The sequence below is a fragment of the Homo sapiens genome, chromosome 18, assembly GCF_000001405.40.
Source record: "Homo sapiens chromosome 18, GRCh38.p14 Primary Assembly".
Lineage (NCBI taxonomy): Eukaryota > Metazoa > Chordata > Mammalia > Primates > Hominidae > Homo > Homo sapiens.
The window spans coordinates 54,839,946-54,854,035 of record NC_000018.10 but is presented as its reverse complement, the minus strand read 5'-3'; the positions used below and the strand labels follow the sequence as shown (position 1 = coordinate 54,854,035).

The 14,090-nt window shown below is 37.2% G+C and overlaps 1 protein-coding gene across 9 annotated transcripts in view, besides 1 other annotated feature; it reads right to left on the bottom strand.

Annotated features, from left to right (window-relative positions):
* The window catches only part of RAB27B (RAB27B, member RAS oncogene family), a 177,660-nt gene that overhangs the window by 41,481 nt on the left and 122,089 nt on the right, over nucleotides 1–14,090 (bottom strand). Inside the window, exon 1 of one of the 9 annotated variants that reach the window (XM_024451232.2) lies at nucleotides 493–2,740. The exons of the other annotated variants lie outside the window; for them this stretch is intronic. The gene's annotated coding sequence lies outside the window, so the exon portion shown is untranslated. Of the gene's footprint in view, nucleotides 1–492; nucleotides 2,741–14,090 lie in introns of those variants that run through there. 9 annotated transcript variants of the gene reach the window in all.
* Nucleotides 864–1,158: a silencer, noted in NCBI's record as "tiled region #14713; K562 Repressive DNase unmatched - State 9:DNaseU". NCBI's record gives its function as "represses a minimal TATA promoter and a strong SV40 promoter by Sharpr-MPRA in K562 cells {active_cell/tissue: K562}" and the evidence as "EXISTENCE:reporter gene assay evidence [ECO:0000049][PMID:27701403]".

The following is a 14,090-nucleotide window of genomic DNA, read 5'->3' as shown; positions in this document are numbered from 1 at the left end:
AAGTTATGTGTTGAAACAAGATGCAGTAAATGGTGGGGAGTAAAGGAGGAATATTAAATTGTTCATCTGGAAGTTATAAAGACATATTGGCATTACTGGATTCTAGATGTAAAAGAAGCCACAGGCAAAAAGCTACACAAAAAAATACAAATGATAGAGGGTGGAAGAAAGAGGATAATGTGAGGTGAAAAAACATTAGATGTGAGATAATGAAAGGTCTAGGCTGGAAAAAAAGGAATTTTCTAAACTAACAAAAGCTACACATCATTCCAAGCTTATAACAGGTAGTCCACCCAAAAGTGGATGAAGGGAATTACTAACAGTAATACCCATTAAAAAACCCCACTGTATGTAAAGCATGCATGATTGTGATACTTCCAAAAAAGACAGAATCAAGAAACTTCATACCGATTAATAGGATTAGCAAAACACTAAGTAGTTAACCTAGTTTCCATTTCTCCTTTCACAGTACTTAGAGAAAACTATACTTACAATTTCCTTGTTGCTGTCACAGCATTATCTTTTGAATTCTGGGCCAAGACCCAAGTCAAAACTACTGGAATCAATCAAATTGTGGTTTCATGGATATATATATATATACATAAAGCAAGTCCACAACTTGCCATAGACTGCCAGGCATCAAGTTCTCTCTGAAATTCAATGACTTTATAAACTTCTTTCTCATCTACTTATTGATGAATGTTAAGATTTCAAGATCAATTGCTCTTCTAAAGGTGCTTCTAGATGAATTGAGATTGCCAAAATTAAAAGAATTTAAGATCCCATTGCAGTTCTATGGTCTCTGACTCATAATTGTGCCCTCACTGACACATTGCCAAGTTACTCGGAACACAGCATATCCTCAGTTTTCAAAAAGAACGTCAAGACAGTTCATCCAACCTTTACTGAACATCAACCATATGCAAGAGACTTTCAAAATTGCTTTAAAGATGGAGACAGAGGAAAACAGCTAAGCCAGGAATAGAATTCCGTCCTACTCTCCTCCCTGAACCTATGCCTCAAATTACTGGAAGATAATATTATCAGGAAATGACCTTGAGACAGATACTCATATTGCGTTCTCCGCTGCAGAAACTAGAATGGTTTTGTGGTCTGTGTCTACATCCTGCATTTCAAAACACACATCCATAAAGGAAGAGAAACAAGATAGTTGGCATATGCAGAAACAAGATATTCACCCTTAGTGTTTTAAGTCAATTCTTTCATTTTTAGTGGCACATCAAGACATGGATATGATATACACACAACTTGAGGGGAACAATAAGGTTCATTAGCAAAAGACACTACTTCCTTTCCCCTGAAATCACAACTTATAATTATATCCTTTCAACTATTTCTTTCAATAAGCCTTCATGCTCAGGTGATCCAAGGCATGTGAACCAACAAACACAAAATCCAGAACTACCTTGTAAAGGCTTTAATACAGATCAAAGAAACTTGAGCCTAAAGAAATTTGACCTGTTTGGTTTCTCTTGATTGGTTCTCTCAAGAAGGCATTTTGGCTGAGATAAGCATCTGCTGAGAAACAGAAACAGCTGTTCTCAACCATTTTCCAAATTAAAAATAGGAGTTTCTGAATAGTGTGAAGAAAGGTGGAATCTCAAAATTATGCCATATTGAGAAGTATCCTTACTAAGAATTTGGGGTTAAACATGTGGTTTGAATCCTAGCTCCTCTCAATATTAGCTATGTGGCTTGAACAATTTCTTTAACCTGGGCCTCAGATCCCTCCTATATAAGTAGGGATTTGTAGGGTCATCCAGTGTATGTGAAGCACCTGGCGTACCACTTAGCCAGTGGGGAGATCTTGAGTAGGTGGAAATGATCTCTTGGTACTAAGTAGTGTCTGCAACTATTTCTTCGCAACCTTTGCATTTCTTTGTAACAAGTGTTGCAACTGCAAAAACTCATTAATAACATTTCTCATTTTGTGCATTAAACCTAAATAATGACTGAAATAAAGAACTCTGTTGTTAGTCAACCTGTATTTATCTGAAACACAGAATGCTCAAGTCCTGTGAAGAAAAGTAGCATAAAATACAAAGCTTGCTCTAAAGGGTTTACAATTTAAGAACTGATTTTTGGGTGATCACCAAAATAATTATTAAGTAAAAAGAGGTGTATAGATTTGTCATTGAACTCATTGAATGGTACACTTAAAATGGGTGCTTTTTTTGTTAAATTATTCCTCAATTTAACACAATCACAGAAAAAAATACTGTTGCCCAAGAATGATCCTTGGAGATTCTGATGAAATTGGTTTGGAGTGTGTAGCTTGGGCCTGGGAGTTTTAACAGAGTTTTAGATGATTCCAATGCAGAAAAAAAAGAAAAAAAAGCAGACAAACAAGATGCAGAATAGGGTGGATAATAATTTACTGATGCCAGGTTTAGCCAATAAAATTCAGGACACCCAGTTTAATTTGAATTTCAGATGAAACACCAATTAATTTTTTAGTGTAAATATGTCCCAAATACTGCTCATTTAACTGATGTCCTGTATTTCATTTGGCAACCCTAAATAGTATGCTAATTCTTGTGCAAAAAAAGGGAAAAGAATTATATTTGCGCCTAAATGTTTTTATATGCATAAGATAGATTTTGCAGGTTTGCTTCTGGGTAGATGAACTATGGCAGGAGACAAGGAGGAAAAATATGTTTCTACTGTACACTTTGGTGCTTTTTGAATTTTGAATCACATAAACATATTACATATTTTTAAAACAAACACTATTATAAAGTTGAAAAATAAGCAATTTCTAACAGGAGCTAAAAATCAATATAGAGAGACAAAATGAATAATACATGTGATGCACTTAGCAAACCAAACCAATAGAAGTTTGCCCAAATATTTGGTGCTATTACAGTCTGATTTTCTCAGTGTAGATATATATAGAATATTAACAAACACTTGTTGAGTTGCCGGACTATAACTCAAATTAATATTAGCAACCTCCTGTTGCATTGCACTTTCATATATTAGTTAATTGAATCTTCAAAATAATCCTCAGAGGTTTTGCAAATTAAAAGGCTTAAACTCAGACAGGGTGAATAATTTGCCCAAGACCACACAGCTAATGAGTAGGAGGCCTGAGGTTTGAAGGTCTGTCAAAATCCACAGCCCTTTTCTTTTAAATACAACACAACACAACACTCTCTTTAGGAATATGTATTCCTAAAGAGTCAGAAAATTAATATTTTTAATAATTTTAAAAATATTTAAATTAATATTTTATTAATTTAAAATTAATAAAATAAATATCAGTGCATAAAGGAAAAGCACTGAATAAGTCCCTTCATCAGTCACCGAGCTATGAAACATGACACACTGGCAAAAAAATACATTCTGAAGCCAGGCACGGTGGCTCACGCCTGCAATCCCAACACTTTGGGAGGCCAGGATAGGTGGATCACCTGAGGCAGGAGTTTGAGACCAGCCTGACCAACATGGTGAAACGCCATCTCTACTGAACATACAAAACATAGCTGGGCATGCTGGCATACACCTGTAGTCCCAGCTATTTGGGAGGCTGAGAGAATCACTTGAACCTGGGAGGCAGAGGATGCAGTGAGCCGAGATTGCACCATTGCACTCCAGGCTGGGTGACAGAGTGAGACTCTGTCTCAAGAAAAAAACTAAACATATGTATGTATGTATATATATATATATATATATATATATCCTGTTTGTTTGCTTTTAAATAAATATACAGGTATACTTCACTTTGTGTAATGCTTGTGTTCCAGGAAAGTTGTTTGTAAATTACATATATGCAAATATAATTATATTTAGAATAAAATTGGGAGTCTGCTTCTTAGACAAACTCTGTTAAATGTTTTTTTAGACAGGAAGATATTTTTAGAATATGCCAGAGCCCAGTTTGTTTATTTTTGGACAGGATATAACATGAGATGATCTAGGAGTTGGCTAATTGCCCTTCAGATTTGGGGGTCTTAATACAAAACATGGTTTTGTATTAAGTGGTTTATGTGTGAAGAGGAATTTTGCCAAATTTCAAAGGATTTAACTAGTTAGATTAAGTTTCTAACTCGAGCCTACCTTTAGCTAATTTTTCCTTTTAAAGGTATGAGTAAATATTTACCAGAGAACAGCTGAATGCCTCTTAAGTGATGGAACCAGTACTATTTTCACAGCTTATTGGAGACAAGAGTGTCAGAGGTCTATTCAGTTTCCTTTTGTAAATGGTTTCAAAAAGGTTTTTTCTAAAGTCTATTTTATCATATAATTTCTATATATCCCCTAGTGATTTACCTTCTTTTTGTTTGTTTGTTTTGAGACAGAGTCTGGCTCTGTCGCCCAGGCTGGAGTGCAGTGGAACTATCTCAGCTCACTGCAACCTCCACCTCCTGGGTTCAAGAGATTTTCCTGCCTCAGCCTTCTGAGTAGCTGGAATTACAGAAGCATGCCACCACGTCTGGCTAATTTTTATATTTTTTAGTAGAGACAGTGGTTTCACGAAGTTGGGCAGGCTGGTCTCGAACTCCTCACCTCAAGTGATCCACGCTCCCTCGGCCTCCCAAAGCGCTGGGATTACAGGCATGAGCCACCGCTCCTGGCCAATTTACCTTCTTTATAGTGCAGGTGCTGGTGCAGAGTGGGAGGAAAGAAGATTTGGAAATGGCAATAGAAAGCTAATCTTTCAAGAGCTGTTAAAGATAATAATTTTTTAAACAGTTGACTAAAAGCTAGCATCCCATTGGAAAGAGATCCACAGGCTCCCTGGATAGTTGGCAGGATCTCCAACCAATGTCGGTGTGGGAGTGGTCACCAGGAGGTGAAACAGCCCTTCACAGATCTCTCTAGCCCGAGTGTACCAAGGCTGGGCCCATGGAGGTTCAGGCAGGCCCTGAATTCCCCATACATTTTCTCCCATTACATCGACGTTTCTGAGCTGGCAGCATTACAATGCCAAATCCATGCTTTGAAAAATCAGCTCAGGACTCAACATCTAAAATGAAATCCCAGACGTTCTGCTGGCCTGGTGATGGCTCCATTTGTCCATATCATTGTCTTTCTATTGCAGTGTTTGAGCCATTATTTGAATATTCTATTTCTTATTTATTTCTAATCAAAGTGATACTTTTTTTGAAAGAACAAAATGAAAGAATATGTATAACATGCTAGATCTATGTCATCAAAGATTATGTCTAAAAGCAGCAAGTAATTAAAGAGTTTACATTACTTTTAGCTCCCTGGGAACAGACACCCCTCCTATCCCCTCTCCCCGCCATACCATGAAATCTTTTTATGGTTTTACATGTTTGAGTCAGTAGATATTTTCCAGAATGCATTATATTCTGGTAAGGTACTGCCTACAGTTAATCTGCATTAAAATCATGTTATTTTCAATAAATCAAATTGCATCTCCATTTAATTGTATTTGTTACATTTAATTGAATCAAATTTTTGTTTACTCTTCTAAATATTAAAAACTAAAGGAACTGAATGGTTTATATCTTTTATAAACTATGACAGTTTTAAACTGAAGCTCTCATTTTTCTCCTTGCAGGTCAGCAGCCCATTCTTACCCAAATAGTTCTTTACCTGTAGTCTGGGGAAATAGATGTACATCTATTTATGAATAAATTCCATGATTTTTCCTATTTAATATTTTAATGATATAAAGGACCAAGACCTAACATAAAAATCTCTATAGTGCAAAAATTGCTGATAATGCAGTTATGAGACAGCCATAAACATTTATTTTTATAAATTCACTCTTCCAGAATGTGTATTCCTAAAGGTCTGTTAAATCAAGTTTAGCCTAAAGCTGCCTCATTATATATTTAAGTTCAGCCTAAAGGTTTCTCTGTACATCATGAACTATACAAGTGGAGGTGTAAACCGACCATATCCCACACCTGTGCCAGTCACTGAGTTTGGCCAATCAAATGTAGCCAACTGTTCAAATCGTTGTTCAAATAAGGCAAACACAGAGCTTGTAACCAATCCAGTTGTTTCTGTACCTCACTTCCGTTTTCTGAACATCACTTTCCTTTTGCTGTCCATAAATTTTCTTCCACCATGTGGCTGCACTGGAGTGTCTGAATCTGCGTGATTCTGGGCCTAAGGGATTTGTGAATTGTTCATTGCTCAATTAAACTCCTTTAAATTTAATTTGGCTGAAGTTTTTTTTTTCTTTCTTTCTTTTTTTAAACGAGTCCCAAATGTGTTAATAACCATGTTTGGAAAATCAGGACAAATTAAGCTAAAAAATTTGGGCATCAACAGCCAATCCATAAAATATGTGGGGAGGTTTAAATGAGTTGATAAGCTTTTACTCAGTCTTCTGTTTTTTTCTGAACGTTTGTTTACTCACTATTTGAACCTACATTTAGTATGTTTCTCCACATAATATCAGAAAATTTTAACATCAGTAGTAAGATAAATTAACAAATTAAAATGAGCATAGGTATTTAAAAGAGTCAAGGACTTGGAGAAGGGAGTTTCAGATACATCTAACGTCATAATTAACACAACACTTCTAACTAACATCATATTCCTAATTGGGATAGTCTATAATGGGTTGGAGACTATTCTCATTTTTCTGGACTGCCCTATGTTGACTCTTCAATTTGTAGGCAAATGCAGATGTCTTCTTTTTGGAATGGTTTTAGAGGTACCAACACAGCAGCTCACTGAAACATATCTCCCCTTCCAGTTTACCAGAGAACTGGGTATTTCCATCATTAGGATAATTTCACATGTGCAGTAGAAACGTATTTTATGTCAGAGCCCCAGAAACATACAAAACTTCAGATCCCTGTAGGAATGTGTTCATAGGGCAACAAAAATAGCATCAGTGCCTTGAGCTTCATTATTGTCAATTTAAAAAGCAGTCATGGCCGGGCATGGTGACTCACTCCTGTAATCCCAGCACTTTGGGAGGCTGAGGTGGGCGGATCACTTGAGGTCAGGAGTTCAAGACCAGCCTGGCCAACATAGTGAAACCCTGTCTCTAGTAAAAATACAAAAATTAGCCATGTGTGGTGGCGGGCACCTATAATCCCAGCTACTTGGGAGGCTGAGGCAGGAGAATCGCTCGAACCCAGGAGGTGGAGTTTGCAGTGAGCCGAGATCACACCTCTGCACTCCAGCCCAGGTGACAGAGGGAGACTCTGTCTCAAAACAAACAAACAAACAAACAAAAAGTCATGTGAAGTCCATTTCTATTTTATTTATAAAACTACAATGAGAAACATTGCCATTATGTGCTTTGTGGCATAAAGTTACTCTTAGAATTTACTGATAGAAAACAAAAATGTGTCTCTCCCAAAAATCTGATATATTTGCTTTAGCCTTATAAGAAAAGCTTATGATATTCATTGCCTTCTTTTTTGGCCTCTATTGCCTGGAAGCTCAGAGGTCAGTTTTTTGGCTCAAATGTGGTAGGTATCAAAGGTTCTCTGGTTCAACTACTTTAACTCTCTCTACTTCTAGACTTGGCTTGGTTCTTGCTTGTTTTTTATTCTTCTTTTACGTATTTGATTGCATTTTTATCTCTATTCCTAAATGATTGAAAATTATTTCATGGGAGGAGATAAATAGAGTTCATTCTTGTTATTCACAGGAGTTATACATTCTATAAAGTTGCTACAAACACTGAATTAGTGAATACCAAGCCATTGTTATTAGAGGAAATGGGATTAGGCTCCTGCGAGCCTCTAGCCACCAGTATTTTCATCAACTGAGCAAAACAGAACCTTGTTTTCTATGTGCTTTCATTTAAAGATATCTTATATAATATATAGTTGATTTGTTAACACTGAACTCATCGTCAACAGCACTATAACTCATGCCTGAACGAAACTTATCTATGTATCTTCTCCTTAAGGCACATATAGCCTGCTTGCCTTTAGGAACATTAGACAGTCCCTCAAGCGCTGACCATGGGGGACATTTTAAACAGAGAAACCACCACTCGAAAGGACAAAAATGTGAAAAACATTAAATAAATCATGAAAAGGACACTTGTTTACAATATGAGAGCTAAAACAAGAATGTACAGCACCAACTTGTTTGACCTCAGCTGAGAATATGCAAGTTGGATGACTCAAACTTTTACCACTCTGTATATGCCTGCAAATGACTACAAAAGCACCATGGTATTGATTCTGGGGTCACAAATAAATGTTATTAAGCAGGCAGATTTGCAAATACATGATTAGTGAATCAAAAGGATTGATGGTATGTTATCTCAAAATTAATATTATATTTTGGCCAATTAACATATTTACAACAATTAGAATAGCAGGTTAACAGAAAGGAGGGTTCTGTTCTGTGGGAATGGAACTGGTGAAAAGTACACTTGGATAACCTTGTAGCAATATGCAAAAGGCTAGAGCAAAGACAAGACAAACATATTCCAGGGGGCAGTCAGGGGGTCCAACCAGCGACTCAGGGCCCTGGGAACAGACTAGGAAAAACAAGGTGAGGCTAAAAACGAGACGGTATTAACTTATTTCACAATTTTCTTTTTTTTTTCTGTTGCAATGATCCTTTTATTATATTCATTATTGCTTAGCTAGAGGTATCCGAAGGGACGTATTTTCTTCCTAAATAGATTTTATTTTATTTTTTTTTTTTTTGAGATGGAGTCTCACTTATCGCCCAGGCTGGAGTGCAGTGGCGTGATCTTGGCTCACTACAACCTCTGTCTCCTGGGTTTAAGTGATTCCCCTGCCTCAGTCTCCTGAGTGGCTGGGATTACAGGCATTAGCCACCACACCGGGGTAATTTTTGTATTTTTAGTAGACACGGGGTTTCACCATGTTGGCCAGGCTGGTTCCAAACTCCTGACCTCAGATGATCCTCCCACCTCGGCCTCCCAAAGTGCTGGGATTACAGGCATGAGCCACTGCGACAGGTCCTAAATGGATTTTTACCCTACACTTAGACAAATACATCAGGCCATGTGAGTGGGCATTGTGATGCTAATACGTCTTAGAGAAAAGTAGCCTAATACATAAGAAGCTTTGGCCAAATTGTTAGTAAAAGTCGACACATCAGATTCTAAAGGAAACCTGATGTCATATTTCTAGTGTTGATGATGAAAAACTTTATTAAACCTGAAAGAGCCAACTCCCTCCCTATACCTCCATTTTCACAGCAACACCCACACATAAAGACACCCAACCAGCGAAAACTGGTAGAAAGGCAGGCTGGAAAATAAACATGTGAAATTTGTAGGACAAAAGAAGCAGATCAGCTCATTTATTTAGGATGCTGCAACATAGTAGATTCTCAGTATCTCAGGGATCTATTTTGTAAGAAGTAGACCTAAATTTGGCCAGGCACAGTGGTTCACACCTATAATCCCAGCACTTTGGGAGGCCAAGGTATGCACATCATTTGAGGTCAGGAGTTTGAGACCAGTCTGGCCAACATGGTGAAACCCCATTTCTACTAAAAATACAAAAATTACCCAGGTGTGGTGGCTAATGCCTGCAATCCCAGCTACTCGGGAGGGTGAGGTAGGAGAATCACTTGAAACCGGGAGGTGGAGTTTTTGCAGTGAGACGAGATGGTGCCACTGCACTCCAGTGGGCGACAGAGCAAGACTGTATCAAAAAAAAAAAAAAAAAAGAAAAGAAAAGAAAGAAAGAAAGAAAGAAAGAAGAGATAAAAGTAACTCAAAATGAAAAGTACGTTAGTTCATGAAGTGAAAATTCAGTAAATTTTCTGTCTGTACTGGGATTGCCTTCAACTTTAACCCTCACAGATCTTCCATTTAGTGAAAATTTTTAGGATTATTTGCACCACAGACCTCCTTAGAAATTTTAACTCATAATCATTTGTCAGGGTGATTGGCTAATTCACTGTCTCTTCCCACAGTTATATCCCTCAGAAGATATTGATATATTGAAAAACTATATCTATATGTTGTGTTTTATTCATGAACTTTGCTCAGTTCTCGAAGTGGCACCCTTATTATCTCAGACCCCACCCTGATTAATATGACACCCTTCTCCTCCTCCCTGCAGCCATCTCAGAGTTATGGGATGGCTTTTCTTCTAGTTCTGTGGTTCTTATCCTTCCTGTCCTTTGTTTGGACTGTGGTCCTAAACTTGTTTGGATGGGTAACCAACCTACAGATTATAGTGTAGGAGGGACCGTTGCCCAAATATTCATGATTTTTAATGTTAAATGTTTTGATCTTGTTATTTGGCCAAATTTTATAGAATTTGAAGAAACATTTCAGAAAAGACTTTATATTAACATTTTCCATTTTAGAAGAATAGAAATAATCCTCATGTTATTATGATACATTAAAGTGTTAGAATCAAGTAGATTGACTTGAAAGTTAGAATGCATCTGATTTCCAAATAGGCCAGTTTGCTCTGCTTTCTTTTATAATAGGTTGACATCAGACCCTTGGCCCAGCTGATATGCAGCCGGAACACACCAGTGTGGTTTATTTTGATTGATCAGCAGATGTCGTGCTAGTTGTTGTTCAATGTGTTTAATATCACCCTTAGTCACTGGAGAATCAGGAGAGGAAACAGCAGAGATGAGTGCAGATATATTCCTGACACTCTTAAAAATGACTCTTCAAGTGTAAATTCTCTTTGCAGTGAGTCAGAAAGAAGCATCTTCTTAATATAGAATAGGCTGGCACTGCTAAAAAAAAAAAGAGTTTTATTGAAAATCTAAACTTATAGGTATGTTATTACCACAAAGCTTTAACAAATATCAACTCTACAGGGCATTAATTTATTGTAATTTATTGTAGTGCCTTCTTGAACTTCAACAATCAGAGATATTTTTACTAAAAATTCCATGCAGGTTATGTTCCTTGCTGACACAATATCCAGTGACAATGGTACAAATGAATTTGAAAGACAGTGATTTACTTTATAGAAGTTTATGTTGCCTGTCCATTAAAAAATAATATTATTGGCCAGGCACGGTGGCTCACACCTGTAATCCCAGCACTTTGGGAGCCTGAGGCGGGTGGATCATGAGGTCAGGACATGGAGACCATCCTGGCTAACACGGTGAAACACCGTCTCTACTAAAAAATACAAAAAAATTAGCTGGGCGTGGTGACGGGTGCCTGTAGTTCCAGCTACTAGGGAGGCTGAGGTGGGAGAATGGCATGAACCCGGGAGGCAGAGCTTGCAGTGAGCCGAGATCCCGCCACTGCACTCCAACCTGGCCAACAGAATGAGACTCCATCTCAAAAATAATAATATTGCATAAATTCAAGAAACTTGCAACAAATACTTTTGTCTGAAACTAGTGGATGGAGGGTGAAATTAGTTGCAGCAGCCCTGCAGACTAAGAATGTTTTTAAATAAGCATTTTGTTCTTGAGAGTAGATAGATAAGACATAACAGCAAGATGTGTCTTAAAATTTATTTTAGTCAATGTTTTGATTTTTGCTTTGACGCATAGGAAAAAGATTTCTACCTATCCTATTAATATATAAGGTTATCTTGTTTATCTTTCTTGATATTATCTTCTAAACTTGATGGGCTTGAGAATGTCCTGATAAACCTAGTTATGCTTAAAATTACTTGAAAATGTTAAAACAAATTTTCTTTTATACATAAAGCTTTACAGAAATCTTTTCTGAAAAATAGTTCAAAACCGTATGCCCTTGAAGTAAGACTGGAAACTATTTTGGTGCAGTTCATTAAGTCCTCTAGCGATTCTGTAAGAAAAACCCATAAATTCTAAGAATATCAATAGTTTTATCTGATCTAGGCTTTCCTTGTGCTAGAATAAGCAAGAAACTGTTTACATATCTTTTCTTACAAACAAGTGGGAAAACCAATTCCACATTCGTTTTCTAAATTTCTCTGACTTGAAATTATCATTTGGAGATAAGCCAAGTACAGATAGAAAACCAGAACTAAATTTCCCTGTGATGAACGAATTAGTTTAGTTTAGAGCTATTCCTCACATAGCCGTCTTCTGCCATTAGACATTTGACCTAACTTGTTCCTTCACAGTCACACACACATGTTCATGTGGCAAATACTGGACTCCATTTAGCTTAATCAATAAGATGTTTTTAAGGAGTCAAGCTGTTGTCTGTGATCCCTGTGAATTGTCTAAATCCTTAATTGTGAGCCATTTTATTCTATGTACTGAGTCTATTTTTGTAGGCTGGAGGACTGGAAATTGGACTGAATAGTATATTGGTGTCTTATTTCTGAAGGCAATGACTCAGGAGGCAATATAGCATTAATGATTACTCTAAAATTATTAAGGTGCAATCAACCAAAAGATCTTTTGCTATCATATATCTTTGACTTTGGCCATTTAGTTTACAACGGTGGACCTGTTTGCTGAACCTACAGTTATTTATAAGCCCACCTCTTATCCTGGTAGTTGGCTAAATTTGGCTTAGAAAATAATGTCACCATTCTCGATGGAAAAATGCTCAGGCTAGTTGATCAGTTACTAATACTTTAGTCTGCAGAATTACCACAGCATCTGCCAATTCACCAGCTCAATCTACTTACATATACAGTAGTTTCTCAGTGTTCATCGGGGATTGGTTCGAGGACCCTCGGTGGATACTAAAATCCACATGTGCTCAAATCCTTGTATAGTATTGGCATATAATGTTCTGCTATATATTTTAAACCATCTGCAGATAACTTATACCTAATGCAATGTAAATGCTATGTAACTAGTTGTTATACTATATTGTTTAGGGAATAATGAGAAGCAAAAAGTCTGTACATATTTAGGACAGATGCAATCATTTATTTTTTTCCCCAAATACTTCTTATCTGCAGTTGGCTAAATCTATGGATAATGAACCCATGGATGGGGAGGACTACCTGTATTTTTCCCGCCCCTCTCACCAAACCCCCCACCGCCCCGCCACCCAAAGACAGAGTCTTTCTCTGTTACCCAGAGCTGGAGTGCAATGATGTGATCTCAGCTCACTGCAACTTCTGCCTCCCGGGTTCAAGCAATTCTCCTGCCTCAGCCTGCTGAATAGCTGGGATTACAGCGTGCACCACCATGCCCGGCTAATTTTTGTATTTTTGGTAGAGACGGGGTTTCACCATGTTGGCCAGGCTGGTCTCGAACTCCTGACCTCATGATCCGCCTGCCTCAGCCTCCCAAAGTGCTGGGATTACAGGCTTGAGCCACCCACCGTGCCCAGCTGGCTATCTGTACTTTTAGATGTTAAATAGGTGGGAAACTGAGAACTTATTGTCAAAGATACCCAGTCAAGTGTTGTTGACAGTATTGGTGAATGAGCCTCAAATTCTATGAAATTCCCTTCCTGAGGATGGACTTAGAAACTCTACAGGAGGAAGACAAAAGGCCCTTTCTACAAGAGAGGATAGTGACCATATTTTCAGAACTATGGATCAAAACATTTATTTAACTTGTTAAATATTTATTTATTTAACCCTGAATCTGCCAGTGTAATGGAATATTTAAAGCAGTAGCTGCTCCAGAAATTCCAGGTCATAGCACTGCCATCCACTTGGGTCACATTAGATTTTACTGATAAAGTTATTTTTGCCCCAAATTCTTCTTGTACAACTCTATTTTTAAGTCTGGAGCCTCTAATATTAGGCATGACTTTGGATTTTTGTTACATGTAAACAAGCAAATATATTTACTGGGAACAGTAATTTATAGCTGTTTTTAGTCATAACTACTTTAGCAGAAATTAATTTATCAGAAAGACTGGCCAACAAATCATTGATTTCCTAGCTTGGGGGCTGCAAAATGGCACTAAGCATTGTAGAAAAACATCAAAAGAAAGAAAGATGGGCTCTGAAATAAAGTTCTAAGAAAGATTAATTTTACCCATGATTTGTACTACAAGGAAAGAACTTTACCCTCAATTAATATGAAAGATACTCAAGAAGACAATCTTACCTTCATGATAAAATAGACAAGTCATAACATTATTTGCCCAGACAGAATTTTAGGAGCCATAGAGAATGTTTGGCCTTATAAAAAGCTTCATTATTTCCAATTAAGTAGGAGAATCTGAGGATATATTATTTCTTCACAAAGTCTGCAAAAAAGCATCTTTTGTTTCTTCCTTAATAAGGTGTCATGAC